Source organism: Homo sapiens, chromosome 11 (assembly GCF_000001405.40).
Source record: "Homo sapiens chromosome 11, GRCh38.p14 Primary Assembly".
In the NCBI taxonomy this organism is placed as follows: domain Eukaryota; kingdom Metazoa; phylum Chordata; class Mammalia; order Primates; family Hominidae; genus Homo; species Homo sapiens.
This window is the reverse complement of record NC_000011.10, coordinates 72,852,867-72,871,891: the sequence shown is the minus strand read 5'-3', so window position 1 is coordinate 72,871,891 and position 19,025 is coordinate 72,852,867. Positions and strand designations below refer to the sequence as shown.

The 19,025-nt window shown below is 39.4% G+C and overlaps 1 protein-coding gene and 1 pseudogene across 5 annotated transcripts in view; both read left to right on the top strand.

Moving 5' to 3' along the window:
• The window catches only part of FCHSD2 (FCH and double SH3 domains 2), a 305,574-nt gene that overhangs the window by 270,427 nt on the left and 16,122 nt on the right, over positions 1 to 19,025 (top strand). For all 5 annotated transcript variants that reach the window (NM_014824.3, XM_011545409.2, XM_011545410.3 and 2 more), the window contains one exon: positions 3,866 to 4,027. In NM_014824.3, coding sequence (NP_055639.2) covers positions 3,866 to 4,027 — 162 coding nt within the window. The remainder of the gene's footprint in view (positions 1 to 3,865; positions 4,028 to 19,025) is intronic.
• On the top strand, positions 2,242 to 2,348 carry RNU6-672P (RNA, U6 small nuclear 672, pseudogene; annotated as a pseudogene).

The following is a 19,025-nucleotide window of genomic DNA, read 5'->3' as shown; positions in this document are numbered from 1 at the left end:
TGTTGGGCACAGCAGTTCACACCTGTAATCCCAACACTTTTGCAGGCCAAGATAGGAGGATTGCTTGAGCTCAGGAGTTCAAGAGCAGCCTGGGCAAAAGAGCAACCACTCTGGCTCTAAAAAAAAAAAAAAAAAAAATTATGTACCAAAGGTATTTGTCACTGGAGTGCAGTGGCTATCTATTCACAGGCATGATCATAGCTCACTGCAGCCTCAAACTCCTGGACTCAAGTGAGCCTGCCTCCTCAGTCTCCTGAGTAGCTTGGACTCCAGGTACAAGCCACTGCACCAGCTCCAACTTGTTTGTCCAAGAGTCCCACAGAAAGCCACCAAGTGAGAGTGGAACTTTACTTAGGTTAAGTAAGTGGAACCTTACTTAACCTAAAATTAGCTTAGTGGAACCTTAAATGTTAAGGAAGAGATCACCACTTGCATATGTGAAACAATGAAGCTGAATGCATTACTTGCTAAGCAAAAGAGGCTGAATGTTTTACTTGCTAAGCAAAAGAGAATGACACAAAACACATTGACTCTGAACAAAGCAAGAGTTGATATATAGGGTTTTGAGAAGCTTGAATGTCAGGGATTGGCAGATTTTCAAAACTAGGAATGTTTAAGGGGTTGGCTCACTTTCAGCCTTGGTTTTTAGAGTTTGGAGGACTAGTAGAAGCAGAAGCTGTCACAGATTAGCTGACTTTCAGAGGCATGGCTGTTGGAGCAAAGCAGCAGTTACTTTCTGATCGGGAGGGGTTTAAAACTAGTTCTGTGGTTACTTGTTTATGGTTTATGGAACAAGGGCTAAAGAATAAGCAGTTATTCCCTTTCTTGAATTTGGAGAATAGGAACTTTTTATTCTCAATCTCTGCTATTTCTGCCAGCCACATCATAAATGTAGTTTAAAAGCAAAGACATTACTGTTAGTCAACAAACAAGTTAGTCAATAAAGGCAGCCAAGTCAAAGGGGGAATTCTTTTTTTTTTTTTTTTTTTTTTGAGACGGAGTCTCGCACTGTCACCCAGGCTGTAGTGCAGTGGCGCAATCTCGGCTCACTGAAAGCTCCGCCTCCTGGGTTCACGCCATTCTCCTGCCTCAGCCTCCCGAGTAGCTGGGACTACAGGCACCCGCCACCACGCCCAGCTAATTTTTTGTATTTTTAGTAGAGACAGGGTTTCACTGTGTTAACCAGGATGGTATCGATCTCCTGACCTCGTGATCTGCCCCCCTCGGCTTCCCAAAGTGCTGGGATTACAGGCGTGAGCCACCGCACCTGGCCCAAAGGGGGAATTCTTTAAGCTTGTGCTGAAGAATGTTAGAATTGTTAGAGAGAAGTTCTTTTATATTAAAAATTATTATTATTAAAGAGACACAGTAGTTTATAACTCAATATCATTGAATGGCAGTCTTTCAAGATTGGTAGAGCCAATCTTGAAAGAATTGGTAGAGCCTATTCAGTCTTTTCTTGGAAAAGTAGAAGCACAGTTATATAGGATATTTATTCAAAAAAGGTTACTGAACACATAACAGGAGAATAACGCTGAATGTCAATGCTCGAGTCTTAAAGGAGCCCCCAATTATATCAAACAGGCATACTTAGTTAAATAGCTAAGTATAATTTCGTGCCTATCACATTGTAATTAGATCTATATAGAGTGCTTTAGGAGCAGAGAAAAAGGAATTATTAACTGCCTAAGGAAGGTTGAGAAATACTTAGAAAAATCTTTGTGGAAAGGGTAATATTTGAACGGACCGTCAAAAGATAAGCACTCACCAGGCATCAAAAAGCAATGAGAAGGCCTTTACAGAGGGACTGGCACGCACACAGGCACGCAAGCACATGATGGATCAGAGGAACAGCAAGTGGGACAGTGGGGTGGGAGCATAGGGGGGTGTGGAAAGAAACAGTAGAAGGAAATAACTCAGCCAAACTGTGAAAGATATTTTTTATTCCTAGTTAAGAATTAGTTAATTCTTTACTCAGTAGACAGTCAGGAGTTATGAAAGTTTTTAAACTGGGGAGCAACATGATGAGGTCATTCACAGACTGTAAAAGATGGATTACAGAGGAGAAAAAGTCCAGGAAATGGGTTAGAAGGCTACTGAAAATGCTGGATTTCAGGGTGTTCTGAGGCATAGCATTATGAACAGGAAAAGGAAACAGACTTTATCACTCTTGATCTCTTCCTCTTCACAAGTTATATTTGATCTATCATCAATACCATGCCCTTGTCAAAATGCAAGTATGTGCTCACTTCAGCATCACATATACTAAAATTGAAATGATGCAGAGAAGATTAGCATGGCCCCTATGCAAGGATGACACACAAATTCGTGAAGCATTCCATACTTTTATTAAAAAAAAAAAAAAGCAAGTATTCCATTGTTAGGAGACCCTGATTCCTTTCTTTTGTTCATGTTCTCTGTCTCTCTGCCTCTGTCTCTCTCTCTCTCTTCTTCCCTCCCCCCAACCCTCTCTTTCCCTTCTTCACTATCTCCCCTCCCTTTCCCCTTCTCTTGCCCTGCTTCAAGTGAAAAATTAGCATCTGTGCCAGGGAAGAATTGCTAGTGAATATCAAGATTGTTGTAATTAATCGATTAGGAAGAACTTAATTAATTTGAGGGAAAAAAGCCTTGATTTCCTTTTTTTGATAGGGATATAAACAAGAAGTTTATAATAAATGGTAACTTGGCTGGGTGAGGTGGCTCATGCCTGTAATCCCAGCACTTTGGGAGGCTGAAGCAGGTGGATCACCTGAGGTCAGGAGTTCGACACCAGCCTGGCCAACTTGGCAAAACCCCGCCTCTACTAAAAATACAAAAATTAGCCGGGTGTGGTGGTACACACCTGTAATCCCAGCTACTTGGGAGGCTGAGGCAGGAGAATTGCTTGAACCCAGGAGGTGAAGGTTGCAGTGAGCCAAGATCATACCACTGCACTCCAGCCTGGGTGACAGAGTGAGACTCCATCTCAAAAAAATAAAAAATTTAAAAAAAAAAGGTAACTTAAAAAGTAAAAGCTAAGCTGCATTGCCACCAAGAATACAGTTGTGCAAAAATATGTCTGCATGTGGACAAAGCCTTGAGAATATTTGCCATGTAAGACTGATAGGATCATGTATGATTTTTTTTCCTTTTAAGTAATTTCCTTTCATGACGGTTATATAGTTTCTTGGTTTGTTTGTTTGTTTGTTTGTTTGTTTGTTTTTAACAGAGTCTTGCTCTGTCACCCAGGCGGGAGTGTAGTGGTGCGATCTCCCCTCACTGCAACTTCCCCTTCCTGGGTTCAAGTGATCCTCCCACCTTAGGCTCCCAAGTAGCTGGGACTACAGGCCCATGATACCATGCCTAGCTAATTTTTTTTTCAACTTTTAAGTTCCCGGATACGTGTGCAGGATGTGCGGGTTTGTTATTAGGGTGGTGCAAAAGTAATCCTGGTATGTGTGCCATGGTGGTTTGCTGCACAGATCAACCCATCACCTAGCTATTAAGCCCAGCTCCATTAGCTATTCTTTTTAATGCTCTCCTTCCCCACCCATCGCCCTCTGACAGGCCCCAGTGTGTGTTGTTCTCCCCCACTCATGTGTCCGTATGTTCTCATTGTTCAGCTCCCACTTACAAGTGAGAACATGGAGTGTTTGGTTTTCTGTTCCTGCCTTAGTTTGCTGAGGATAATGGCTTGCAGCTGCATTCATGTCCCTGCAAAGGATATGATCTCTGTCCTTTTTATGGCTGCATAGTATTCCATGGTGTATATGTACCACATTTTCTTTATCCAGTCGATCATTGATGGGCATTTGGGTTGATTCCTTATCTTTGCTATTGTGAATAATAAAAGCCTTGATTTCCGACCATTTTCTTGGTTCTCTAGATAATTAAATTGAAAGCTGAAGCCCGGTTGGACCTGCTAAAGCAGATTGGTGTTTCTGTGGACACATGGCTAAAGAGTGCCATGAACCAAGTAATGGAAGAACTGGAAAATGAGCGATGGGCCCGCCCTCCTGCAGTGACCAGTAATGGCACTTTACACTCGGTACGATTTCTTTTCTTGGATATGACAAGTTGATTTTCACTGAAGCATGCTTTGACTCTGTAGTCAAACTTAATAATAGCCAAAATTTTTTAAAAAGATAATAGTTTGCTAGTGATTTAGGTTTTATTCTTCAGCCTATCACTAATTGATTTAAAATTATTGCGGGAAGTGAAAGAGAGGAAAAAATGAGTGTTTTTTTTAATGTATGATGAAGAATATGTTATCACTATTTGGGTTATCGATGCCTATCTACCAAACTCATCCCATTCATAGAGTAAATATGCTTCGTGTCTGGAAGTAATAGAATAGAAAACAATCTAGTGTCTCTGAAGTTCTCAGAGGTCTTCTTTAGTGAAAATGAAAATAAACATCCAGAGATTTGCACAAAATCTTAAGTGAAAGGAATGTTCTTCTTAGTACGTGGGCTTAGTCTGAAGGTGACTTCAATTCTTGACAGCTTTCATATTCTCCTCACATAGAGAGAGTGTAGGTGAGTTTTACAGACAAGGCCAGGACACAGCTTAAGTCTCCTTACTTCAAGTCCAGGGCTTTTTCTACTCTGATGTCATCTGGTTCAACCTTAGTTTTTCATGTTGGAGATCTAAGTACCAGAAAAATTCGGTTGATTTGCCTGATATTACATAGCTGGATATGTGATGCCTTGCTAGTCAGACTAATGTAATTCCTACTGTCACCTCCCCACCCATTACTCTCTGTCATCCTGTTTATTTCCTCAATGGTATTTATTACAGTTTGAACTTGCCTTCTTTATTTGTTTTCTTTTGTTTATTGTTGTCTTCCTCTCTAGAATGTAATTGCCATATCTTCCTGGTTCTCTGCTCTGCACAGCAAAGTGCCTGACACATAGTTGGTACTTAAATATTTTTGAAGGAAGGAGTGAATGGTTGGATGGGTGAGTGGCTAGTTGGAATAGTGGCAAACTAAAAGCTAAAACTCTAACCTCCCAACTTCCCACTGTCTTCATAGTGCCTCTTTAAATGCTTGTGCTCTTCAGATATCAGGCAGGCTTGCTAGCGAAACTGACGAAAATTTTTCAACATTCTTGGAAGTTTTGTCAATTTTTTCACATAGCATTCTAATTTTCTAATGAGAATACACTTGCACATTTAAAAAGGGTTGTGTGTGGGTCTACATTTTAAGGAAAAACAATCTATTGAAGCTTTATTTTCATTTAACTATTAATGTTAATCCAGCTAGAGGGAAAAAGAAACATCACCCACTTGACTTTGGGGTTGTAAGCACTTCCCCAGTTGTTATTAGAACAGAGTTGCTCTGGCCGTGCATGGTGATTCACACCTGTAATCCCAGCACTTTGGGAGGCCAAGGCAGATGGATCACCTGAGGTCAGGAGTTCGAGACCAGCCTGGCCAACATGGTGAAACGCTGTCTCTACTAAAAATACAAAAATTAGCCAGGCATGGTGGCAGACGCCCATAATCCCAGCTACTCAGGAGACTGAGACAGAAGAATCGCTTGAACCCGGGAGGCAGAGGTTGCAGGGAGCCAAAATCATGCCATTGCACTCCAGCCTGGGTGACAAGAGTGAAACTCTGTCTCAAAAAACAAAAAAAACAAAACAAAACAAAAAACAGAACAGAGTTGCTCCATCTCATGGAATATCTCCTACTATTGCACTTTCTAAAAGTCATAATGCTCATCTACTTCAGACTGTTGTAGAGTTTTTGATGACAGCAAATTCCAGGCCCACTTGATTTGGGCTTCTACAGCAGGACTGTTTCCAACCAATCAAACCCATGATTTTCCTTCAGCTAGCACCTTTTCTAACCAAATCAATTGAGGGGCCATATACCATCTGACTTTGAACTGAGCAGGCACATACCATCTAACTTTGTACTTACTTCCTGGGCAAACTGAAGATGAACAAAACTTGGTCTCCCTCCTCATAGAATTTACAAGCTAGGAGACCAGACAGATCTTCATAGATCTTAATGATACATGGCAGTGTATGACTGGACTACTGTGTAGCACACTTGAGATTGCTTACTTCTAACTCATCTGCACACCTTGGAAAAAGTCACTTCTCTTGGGTTTCTGAAAGAAAGATTAAAAGACTCTGAGATTCCCACTCCCCACCCCCACCAACTCCAGAATCTCATGATTCTTTGAAATACTATCAGAAAAGCTCAATATCAGCTAGAAGAATAGGGAAGAAAGTGTGCCCCATGGAGGATATGTCATTTGAGATAGTCTTTGAAGAATTTTAACAGGAGATAAAGAAGAAGGGCTGTTCTCGTTGTGAAGGAAGGGAATGAAGGAGCTGTGCCTAGTACAGTAGTAGTAAGCATTGAATAAATGAGTATTTTTGAGACCTGTCCAGAGAAATCACTCCTCTAGAGACATACATATCCTCTGTGAAGGGAGCATTTTGCAATTCCATCCGACGTTTTTCTTCCCCCTCATCACTCTTATGGAGCCTGCATCTTTCAACTGAGAGATTACATTTTGTGGAAGATCTAATAATATAAATAAAGGAGAGACATAGGCACAAAATAGCTTAATGAGGACCTATATTTATTTAATCTGCTTTTAAGTAACAGCACTGAAATTATTTAGAGGGGGTTGTATCTCTTCATACTGACAGCTAGCTGGCTGAGGAACATGAAGCAGAAATGCACATTCTAGAGGCTAAATTATTTCTTCCATTACAGCTGCCAACAAAAGCATTCGTCATCTGGAAAACATGATTAATACTACTGTTAGACATTAATAGTGCAACTGAAAAGTGCCTTGTGGAAGATAAATGTTTTAAAAAGACACAGACTACTCCCTTATAGAATAAGGAAGGAACTATACTTACTTGGGTATTAACTCTGCCTTCTGTATCATGCTATAGTACAGAATGTAAGATTGGAAAAAAGGAATCCCAGAGTATAGCAACGTTGTTTTTAAAGGAGAACAGTCCACTGACACAGTTACTCAGTTGCAGGTGTCTGGAGCCTGCATGCAGCTTCCCCTGTTAGATTGCTGCCAGCAACCCCATCAGCCTGTGTCACTCAGCCTCCCTTCTCTTATCATCCTGCTTCTCTTATTCAAAAGCCATACCAAGATGACAACCTGACTTTTGATATTATATTAATTCTGCAATAGAAGAAGTTATATAAGCAGATTACCAAAAAATTGGAAAATACAATACAGAAGAAAATGATTAATAGCTCCATCCTTATAATAGCACAGCTAGCAATTTGGTGTATTTCCTTACTCTTATTTATTTATTTTTTAATTGACAAACAATTGTATATATTTATGGTGTACAACATAATGTGTATTTTTGTTTGTTTGGAGATGGTCTCCCTCTATCGCCCAGGCTGGAGTGCAGTGGTGCTGTTGATGGCTCACTGCAGTCTCAACCTTTGGGGCTCAATGGATCCTCCTGCCTCAGCCTCCTGAGTAGCTGGGACTACAGGCTCATGCCCCCATGCCCAGCTAATTTTTGTATTTTTCACCATGTTGCCCAGGCTAGTCTCAAACTCCTAGGATCAAGCAGTCCGCCCACGTTGGCCTCCCAAAGTGCTGGGATTACAGGCATGAGCCACCACACCCAGTCCATATTTTTATTTTTTCTAATCTTTTATTTATGAGCCACTATGCCCACCCTGTTCTTTTATTGCTTACATTTTCAAACTATAGCCCACAATGTTAACATCACTTCCCCGTTTTCAGCCACTTTCCCCAACTAATGTGCAAGGGCAAACTGCCAGTCTACTCTGTTGTACAGCCTCACTTAGAGTATGAACATCTGCAGAGTTGCATATAAATAAATTCTGACTTTGGTTGTTGTGAGAACCATGCTTAATAATGATGTTGGAGATAAGGGTAAGATAAGGAGTTTCTAAAACTGCTAAGATCATATGCTTTGGCTGGGTCATATAATAGGTATATATTTAACATTTTAAGAAACTGACAAACTGTTTTCCAAAGTGGTTATACCATTTTACAATTACATCAACGGGGTACTAGTGTTTCAGTTGTTCCACAACCTTATCAGTACTTACTATAGTCAGTCTTTTTAACTTTAGACATTCTAATAGGTGTGATGTTGTAAATCATTGTCATTTTAATTTCCATTTCTCTGATAATGTTGATCATCTTTTCATATGTTTATTTGCATCTGTATATTTTCTTTGGTGAAGTGTCTGTTCAAATCTTTGTTTAATTTTTATTGGGTTTGTTTTATTTTTATTGCATTTTAAGAGTTTATACTCTGAATACAAATCCTTTATCAGATATTTGATTTATGCAATTTTCTTCTAGTCTGTGGCTTATTTTTTTATTTCCTTAATACCTTTCAAAGAGCACAAATTTTTAATTTTAATGAAGTCCAACCTACCAATTTTTCTTTTATGGATCATATTTTTGGTGTGGTAGCTAAGAAATCTTTGCCTAAAACCAAGGTCATAAAGATTTTCTCCTAGGTTTTCTTCTGGAAGTTTTATAGTTTTAGGTTTTACATTTAAATCTGTAATTCAGCATGAGCTTATCTTTTATTATGGTAAACAGAATAAGTCAGAGTTCTTTGTCCCTTTTTTGAACTTTTTTTTTTAACTGTCCTTTCGCCACTGAATTGCCTTTGCATCATTGTCAAAAATCAGTTATTCAGGCCTGCCACAGTGGCTTATGCCTGTAATCCCAACACATTGGGCTGAGTGGGAGGATCACTTCTGGCCAGGAGTTTGAGACCAGCCTGAGCAACATAGTAGACCCTGTCTCTAAAAAAAGAAAAAAAAAAATTTCAACTAGCCAGGCATTGTGGTACATTCCTGCGGTCCTAGCTACTCAGGAGGCTAAAGCAAGAAGGTATCTTGAACCCAGAAGTTCAAGGTTACAGCGAACTATGATTGTGCTACTGCACTCCAACCTGGGAAACAGAGCAAGTCTCTTTAAAAAAAAAATTAATCATATATGTATGGGTCTGTTTCTTGACATTTTGTTCTGTTCTATTGATCTGTTTGTCCAGCTTGATGCCGGTATTGCACTGACTTAATTACTGTAATTTTATAATAAGTCATGACTTCAGGTAGTGTAAGTCCTCCAACTTTCTTCTTTATCAAAGTTGTTTTGGGTATTCTAGGTCCTTTGCATGTCCATATGAATTTAAAATTGGTTTTCTACCCCAAAAAGCCTATCAGGATTTTTATTAGGATTATGATGACTGCATAGATCAACTGGAAGATAACATTGCCATGTTAACAATATTCAGTTTTCCAATCCATGAACATAATATACTTCTCCATTTATTTAGGACTTTAATTTCTCTCAGCAATGTTTTGTAGTTTTCAGTAGATAGATCTTGCATATCCTTTGTCAGACTTACCCCTATTTCATAATTTTGGTGCTATTGTAAATGATTTTTTAAATTTCAGTTTCCAATTGTTCATTGCTGATCCATAAAAATACAGTTGATTGTTGTATATTGATCTTATATCCTGCAATCTTGCTAAACTCACTTATTAGTTCTAGTAGCTTTTTTGTAAATCCATAGGATTTTCTATATAACCGTGTCACCTGCAAATAAAGACAGTTTTACTTATTCCTTTCCTATTTGGATTCCTTTTTCCTTCTTACTATAAAATTGCTGAATAGAAGTGGTGAGAGTCAACAGAAATCCTTGCCTTGTTCTTGAACTTTTAGCAAGAATGCATTCAGTCTTTCACCATTAAGTATGAAGTTAGCAGTAGGGTTTTTGTAGATGCCCTTTATCATGTTAAAGAAGTTTCTTCTGTTTCTATTTTGTTTGCTAATAGAAATGGATGTTGGATCTTGTCAAATGGTTCTTTTTTAGTCTGCTAATATGGTGTAATTGCATTGATGATTATTCAGATATTAAACCAGCTTCACATTCCTGGTAAACCCCACTTGGGTAATGATATATTATCTTTTTTTTTTTTTTTTTTGAGACGGCGTTTCGCTTTTGTTGCCCAGGCTGGAGTGCAATGGCATGATCTCAGCTCACCGCAACCTCCACCTCCCAGGTTCAAGCGATTCTTCTGCTTCAGCCTCCCAAGTAGCTGGGATTATAGGCATATGCCACCATGCCTGGCTAATTTTATATTTTTTTAGTAGAGATAGGGTTTCTCTATGTCGGTCAGGTTGGTCTTGAACTCCCGACCTCAGTTGCTCCACCCGCCTCAGCCTCCCAGAGTGCTGGGATTACAGGCATGAGCCAGCGCGCCCGGCCTATCCTTTCTATATATTGATTGGAACTGGTTTGCTAGGACTCTGATAAGCATGCTTCCATCTCCATTCATTTCCTTGTAGTATTCTTGTCTGGTTTTGTTACAATGCTTGTCTCCAAATGATTTGAAAAGTATCCTCTCCTCTTCAAGTTTCTGGAAGCCTTGTGTAGAATTGTATGGAATTTCGTCTTCCTGAAATGTTTAGTGGAATTTACCAGGGCTGTTATCTGGTCCTGGAGTTTTTTTTTTTTTTTGGAAGTTTTTAAATAATAGACTCCATTTCTTTAGTAGATACAGGGTTATTAAGGTTATTCTTCTGAGTGAACTTTGGTAAGTTGTCTCTTTTAAGGAATTTGTCCATTCCATCTAAGTTGTCAGATTTATTGGCACAAAGTTGTTTATAATATTCCTTTATCCTTTGATTATCTGGAAAATTAGTAGAGATATCACCTCATTCCTGATATTGGTCATGTCTCCTCTCTTCTGATCATTCTGCTAGAGGTTTATTAATTATATGGATCTCTATGAAGAATCAGCTTTTGATTTTATTGATTTTTCCCTCGTTTTTCTCTTTTCTATTTTCTTGATTTCTACTCAGGATTTTATTATTTCTTTTCTTCTGTTCAATTTGGATTTAATTTTCTCCTTTCTAATTTGTAAGATAGAAACTGAGGTCATTGATTTGAGAGTTTTCTTCTTTTTGAATATTGGCATTAAGTGCTAAACATTTCCCTGTAAGTATTGCTTTAGGTCCATTGCACAAATTCTGGTATGTTGTGTCATCATTTTTATCCAGTTCAAAATATTTTCTAATTTACATTTTTTTTTTTTTCAAACAGAGTCTTGCTCTGTCACTCAGGCTGGAGTGCAGTGATGCAATCTCAGCTGACGGCAACCTCCTCCTCCCAGGTGATTCTTATGCCTCAGCCTCCCAGCACCACCACGCCCAGCTAAATTTTGTATATTTAGTAGAGATGGGGTCTCACTATGTTGCCCACGCTGGTCTAGAACTCCTGAGCTCTAGCGATTCACCCACCTCAGCCTCCCAAAGTGGTAGGATTATAGGAGTGAGCCACTGCACCTGGCCTCTAATTTATGTTTTAATTTCTTCTTTTGACTGATGGGTAATTAAAAGTGTGTTACTGAATTTCCAAATATTTGGAGATTTTTCCAGATAGCTTTTTGTTTTTTATTTCTAGTTTATTTCCATTGTAGTCAAATAACATACTTGAACCCTTTTAAACTTTTTGAGCTTTGTTTTGTAACCCAGTATAAACGTATATCTTGGTAACTGTTACATGTGTTCTTAAAAAAAAGAATGTATATTTTGCTATTGTTAGGGGTTATGTTCTATAAATGTCAATTAAGTCAGGTTGGTTATAGTATTGTTCTAGTCTTCTAGACTGGAACGAACCTTTTACCGGTCCATGGCCTGTTAGGAACTGAGCCACACAGCAGGAGGTGAGTGGCCAGAGAGGGAGCATTACTGCTTGAGCTCTGCGTCCTGTCAGACCAGCAGGCAGCATTAGATTCTCAGAGAAGCATAAACCCTATTGTGAACTTCACATGTAAGGGATCTAGGTTGGACCCTCCTTATGAGAATCTAATACCTGATGATCTGAGATGGAACAGTTTCATCCTGAAACCTTCCCTCATGGTACCCCAAGGGTCCAGTCCATGGAAAAATTGTCTTCCATGAAACTGGTTCCTGGTGCCTAAAAGATTGGGGACAGCTGTTCTGTATCCTTACTAATGTTAATACTCTACTGGGTGCCCTGTGCCTTATGAAGTTTTTACTCTTTTAGGAGGGAGCAGGAGTTATTCTCAGACCTGTGTGAGTTCTGAGGATTATTTTTCCTAATCCTTTTTAGTGCTTCTAGCCCTAGCTTTGGGTAATTTCTTCACATATATGTACTGACCAATACTCAGCCAAAGTCTTGAGGAGGACCCTCTGCAGATTTCCTAAGTTCTGCGCATCTCTCTCTTCTTCATTACAGTCCCCCCTTATCTGTGGGGGATATATTTCAAGACCTCCAGTGCATGCCTGAAGTCACAGATAGTACCGAACCTTATGTATACTGTGTTTTTCCCTATACATACATATCTATCATAAAGCTAATTTATATATGAGGCACAGTAAGAGATTAACAACACTAACTAGTAATAAAATAGAATACTATAACAATAGGCCAGCAGCACTACTGTAGTGCTTTGGGGCCAGTATTAAGTAAAATAAGGGCTACTTGAACACAAGCACCGTGATATGGTGACAGTCAATTGGGATAACCGAGATGGCCACTAAATGACTAATGGACAAGTAGCTTACATAGCTTGCATATACTCGACAAAGGGGTGATTCACATCTGGGGAGACAGACTGAAACACTAAAATGTCATCAGGCTACTCAGAATGGCACACAATTTAAAACTTATGAATTGTTTATTTCTGGAACTTTCCACTTAATATTTTCAGATCATGGTTGACTGGGTAACTGGCACCATGGAAAGCCAAACCACACATAAGGGGAGACTGCTATACTCCGCATCCTGAGCTCTCTCCACTTTGGCTTTACTAAATTCCCAGTTTCATCTCCTCTGTTCAGGGAGGTCACCATCATGTGCCTGGGTTTCTTCTCCCTATGTCATAACCTAAAAACTTTCTTCATACAGTATGTTGTAGGAGTTTGTTTGTTTCCCATCCCCCAGGGATCACTGTCCTTCATGAGTGATGCCCAGTGTCTTGAAAACTGTTCTTTCATATATTTTGAACAGTTTTTCAGTTGTTTCTGACAGGAGGTTAAATCTGATCCCTGATACTCCATCTTGCCTGGAAGCACAAATCCATTTTCCTGATATTTTTAGCATCATCTTTTTCTTAACTTTTATTTTAAGTTCAGGGATATAATTGCAGGTTTGTTACATAGGTAAACTTGTGTCATGGGGGGGTTGTACAGATTATTTCATCACCCAGGTGTTAAGCCTCATACCCATTAGTTATTTTTCCTGATCCTCTCCCTCCTTCCACCCTCTACCCTCCGAAAGGCCCCAGTGTCTGTTGATCCCCTCTATGTGTCCATGTTCTAATCATTTAGCTTCCACTTACAAATGAGAATTTGCGGTATTTGGTCTTCTGTTCCTGTGTTAGTTTGCTAAGGATAATGGCCTCCAGCTCTATCCATGTCCCTCCAAAGGACATGATCTCATTCTTCTTTATGGCTGCATAGTATTCCATGGTGTATATGTACCACATTTTCTTTATCCAGTCTACCATTGATGGGCATTTAGGTTTATTTCATTTCTTTGCTATTGTGAATAGTGCTGCAATGAACATGCATGTGCATGTGTCTTTATAATAGAATGATTTATATTCCTTTGGTTAACATCATCTTTGATAACTTACTCATGTTGTATTTGGAGTGATGTCCACTGTGATTACTTCTCTGTCCAGTGGAGTTGAGAGATTCTATTAGTAAATATTGAGGAGCTGTCTTCCTCTGTATTAGGTATTACCAGATTCTTTATCTGGATTCTCCCTTCCTCGTAAAAACAAAAGCTAATGCTTTATTAAGTACCTCCTATGCACCAAACATGTGTTAGGGGTTTTAAATATTTTACTTCATTTAATCTTTATGCTAACCCTGTGAAGAAGTAACTGTCTTCATTAGAGAGACGAGGTCATTGAAATTGAGGAGTTAATTTGCCCAAGGTCACACAACAAGTAAGTGACATAGTCAACATTCAAACCCAAGTTGGCCAGACCCCAAGACCCTGCTTTCTACCTCATGATTGTGCCATGAAGCTGAGCCCCTCAGAGGTGTTTTTAATGAGTACAAGAAGATGGCTCCCAAAACCAACTCAAAAAGATCATCTTTCCTGCCTCTGCAATAAGAGTAAGCATTTTGGCCGGGCGCGGTGGCTCATGCCTGTAATCCAAGCACTTTGGAAGGCCGAGGCAGGTGGATCATCTGAGGTCACGAGTTCAAGACCAGCCTGGCCAACATAGTGAAACCCCCGTCTCTACTAAAAAAAAAAAAAAATACAAAAATTAGCTGGGCATGGTGGCACACACCTGTAGTCCCAGCTACTCCGGAGGCTGAGGCAGGAGAATCGCTTGAACCCAAGAGGCAGAGGTTGCAATGAGCCGAGATCACACCATTGCACTCCAGCCTGGGCGACAAGAGTGAAACTCCATCTCAAAAAAAAAAAAAAAAAAAAGGAGTAAGCATTTTACAACATCTAAGAAAGGGTAAACGTTAGTATGGCTAGAAAGAATAGTTTTGATTGAAGTTCTGTCAAGTGACAAGAAGAAAAGGAGAGAGCAGTCCTTAAGAGACAGAGGAAGCATGTGATTTTAGAAATGCTGGGTCAAGAAAACAGTGTAACAGTTCAGTTAAGAGAGTGGAAGAGGAAAAAGGAAGAAATTATTCTGAGATGACATGCTTTGGAAAGCAGCTAGAGCAATGCAGAAGCATATGACAGTGACCGCTATTGCTGGCACTGCAGCCTTCTTACTGCCTTCCATGGGAATCCAAAAATCAACTCCAAATAAAGGAGGAAAAAAGGAATGTTTAGTATCAACCGGGTTGCCAAGATAAAATGTTTTGGATTGATTCCCAGTGTCAAAGCACAGTACATGTATATTTTTGGAAACTTGTTCTACCCACATTTTTATAAATGTATGGGTGTTGTGTTTTGTTTTGATTTTTGTAATACCCACTGTTTTTTTAAATGCCTGTAAACTTTCCTAGAATATGAAGGCAATGTCTTCTAAGTATATATAATACATTTCAAGTTAATTTTATGGCAATTTCTAGCATGATTCTTTTATGTGGCACAATGCCCTGTTGGAAAACAATAGAATCATAAGTCTGTGATTCTGAATATTATGCTCCTAACTAGTGAGTGGCAAAAGACTCAGTATCATGTGAGACTGTTTTGCCACCGAACTGACTGATGATAGATGAATAATTTGTAAGAGATAGCACAGGATTTCCTCACTCAGCTGTGGAGAATTTTCAGTAAAGTTATCAATGAGAATATTTCAGCAGCTTTGAAATGGTGGCAATAAATATGTCAGGAAAAATATATAATTTATTATTCTGGAACTCTCCACAATTCTGTGTAATCTTTTCCCTTTTATTTTTATTTGACACATAATATTTATACATATTTATGGGATACAGAAGGACATTTTGATACATGTATACAGTGCTATAGAATTGTATTAGGCAAACAGTGGTTAAGAGGAGAGTCAGTTTTAAAACTTCAGTGATAATTACTCAAGAGAAAGCCATTTAATTCATGAAAAAGTAGAACTTGACAGCTAGGCAGCCTGTACTTTTGGACTCATCATATCCTGACTTCTCTCCAGTGGCCTCTTCCGCATTCCCAGGGCCATGCACTTGGCCTCTCCTTTTAGTATCCTTCACTCTAGATTGTGAACCACTGGAAGGAGACACTGTGTCCTTCGTTTTCTATCCATCAAAGAGGCTAGCGTAGTTTTCTACATACAGTAGATATTTGATACTTTAATTAATTAATGTAATGGCTCTCCTATGAAGGCCAATCCTGCCTGTCCATTCTTTGTAACCTTAAATGTGTAAACATTGGTGCTTTTGTATGTTTGAATATGGGAAAAAGCAGCCAAATAAGTGCTTGGGTGTAGCGGGCAAGAAACAAATATTTGAGGCTGTTTGTCTCTTCTTTATTAGGTTTTTAATTTAAAAAGTAAAACGTGCATATTCTAATAGTTCAAAGAGTATAGATGTATATAAAAAGCAAGTCAGTCATTTCCTCTATTCTCCAGTCTTTATTCTTCTCATTCTGCCTTCCCCTGTCAGATACGTATGCTCATATAAATATTATTTATATTCACTATATCACGGACAGTGCTCTAGGTAAGTGCCTGTGGATCTAACTCATTTTTTACACTCAATGCCATTTCAATTAATAAATGCCTTTTAGCTATGATGGGTAATATACCTTGAAACTGGGTTAAAAAATTATTCTCCTTGTGTTACATTTCAGAAGAGAGTGTGCTTTTCACGTTTGTTCGTGTGTATGGTAAAATATACAAATTTACCACTTTAAGTGTAAGTTTAGTGGCATTAAGTACATTCACATCATTGTGGAACCATCCCCACCATCCATCCATCTCCAGAACTCTTTTTTTTTTGAGATGGAGTCTCACTCTGTCACCCAGGCTGGAGTACAGTGGCATGATCTTGGCTCACTGCAACCTCCGCCTCCCGGGTTCAAGTGATTCTCCTGCCTCAGCCTCCTGAGCAGCTGGGATTACAGGCACCTGCCACCACACCCAGCAACTTTTTGGTCTTTTTTGTTTGTTTGTTTGTTTGTTTGTTTGTTTGTTTTTGAGACGGAGTTTTGCTCTTGTTGCCCAGGCAAGCTGGAGTACAATGGCACGATCTCAGCTCACAGCAACCTCCGCCTCCCAGGTTCAAGCGATTCTCCTGACTCAGCCTCCTGAGTAGCTGGGGTTATAGGCATGCGCCACCACACCCGGCTAATTTTGTATTTTTAGTAGAGACAGGGTTTCTCCATGTTGGTCAGACTGGTTTCGAACTCCCGACCTCAGGTGAACTGCCTGCCTCGGCCTCCCAAAGTGCAGGGATTACAGGTGTGAGCCACCGTGCCTGGCCTAATTTTTGTATTTTTAGTAGAGATAGGGTTTCACCATGTTGGCCAGGCTGGTCTCGAACTCCTGACCTTACGTGATCTGCCTGCCTCGGCCTCCCAAAGTGCTGGGATTACAGGCATGAGCCACCGTGCCTGGCCCATTTCTAGTATTCTTTTCATCTAGCAAAAGTAAAACTTTCTGGCCATTAAGCAATAACTCCCCATCATGCAGCCTCTGACAATCACCATTCTGCTTTCTGTCTCTATGAATTTGACTACTCTGCATACCTCAAATAAGTAGAATCAGAGTATTTTATCTTTTTGTGACTGGGTTATTCCACTTAGCATAATGGCCTCAAAGATCACCCATGTCATATGTAGCATGTGTCAAAATTTCCCTCCTTTTTAAGACTGAATAAACTGGGCATGGTGGCATGTTCCTGTAGTCCCGGCTACTCGGGGGGCTGAAGTAGGAGGATCCCTTGCATCCAGGAGTTCAAAGCTGCAATGAGCTATGATCGCACCATTGCACTCCAGCTTGGGCAGCAGAGCGAGACCCTGTCTCTAACCAGATAGACAGATAGGTAGACAGACAGAGAATAATATTCCATCGTATGTATGTATACCACATTTTTATTTGGTTTGTGGTATATACATACATTTTACTTATCCATTCATCTCTCAATGGACATTTGAGTTGCTTCTACCTTTTGTGAATAATGTGGCTGTGAACATTTGTTTACAAATATCTGTTCAAGTCTGTGCTTTCAGTTCTTTTGGGTATATACCCAAAATGGCATTGCTGAATTATGTGGTAATTCTGTGTTTAATTTATTGAAGAAACATGTTACTGTTTTTCCATAGCAGCTGTACCATTTTACATTCCTACCAGCAGTGTATAAAAGTTCCAATTTTTCCACATCCTTGTCAACACTTGTTATTTTCTGGGTTTTTAAAAATATATATAACAGCATCCTAATGGGTGTGAAATGGTATCTCATTGTGGTTTTGATTTGCATTTCCCTAATCATTAGTGATGTTGAGCATATTTTCATGTGGTTATTGGCTATTTACATAAATTATTTGGAAAGATATCTCTTCAAATCTTTTGCCCATTTTTAATTGGATTATTTGTTGTTGATGGTCAGTTTTAGGGATTCTTTATATATTCTGGATATTAGTCCCTTTTAAGATACATAACTTGCAAATACCTTATCCCATTCTGTGGGTTGTCTTTTCACTCTATTGTTCTTTGATGCATACATATTTTTTATTTTGATAAGGTTCAATTTATCTGTTTTTTTCTTTTGTTGCCTATGCTCTTGGTATCATATTTAAAAAACTCATTGAGGTGGGGGGATTGCCTGAGCTCAGGAGTTCGAGACCAGCCTGGGCAACACGGTAAAACCCCATCTCTACTAAAATACAAAAGATTAGCCGGGTGTGGTGGCATGCACCTGTAGTCCCAGCTACTTGGGAGGCTGAGGCAGGAGAATTGCTTGAACCTGGCAGGCGGAGGTTGCAGTGAGTCAAGATTGCGCCACTACACTCCAGCCTGGGCAACAGAGCGAGACTCTGTCTCCAAAAAAATCATTGCCAAATCCAGTGTCATAAAGTGTTTCCCCTGTGTTTTCTTTTAAAGTTTCATAGGCTTAGGTATTTGATCCATTTAATTTTTTCTGTGTATCGTATAAGGTGAGATTTCAATGTCATTCTTTTGCATATGGGTATCCAATTTTTCCAGCAACATTTGTTGAAAAACTGTCCTTTCCTCCACTGAGTGGTCTTGGCATCCTTGTTGAAAATCATTTAATCATGTATGTGAAGGTTTATTTCTGGGCTTTCTAGTCTCGAACTCAATTTTTAAAAAAACTTTTAAGTGCAAGAGTACATGTGCAGGTTTGTTATATAGGTAAACTCGTGTCATGGGGGTTTGTTTTACAAATTGTTTCACTACCCAGGTACTAAGCCTAGTACCCAATAGTTATTTTTTCTAATCCTCTCCCTCCTCCCACCTTCTGCCTTCAAGTAGGCCCCAGTGTCTGTTGTTCCCCTCTTTGTGTCCATGAGTGCTCATCATTTAGCTCCCACTTATTAGTGAGAACATGCAGTATTTGGTTTTCTCTTCCTGTATTAGTTTGTTAAGGA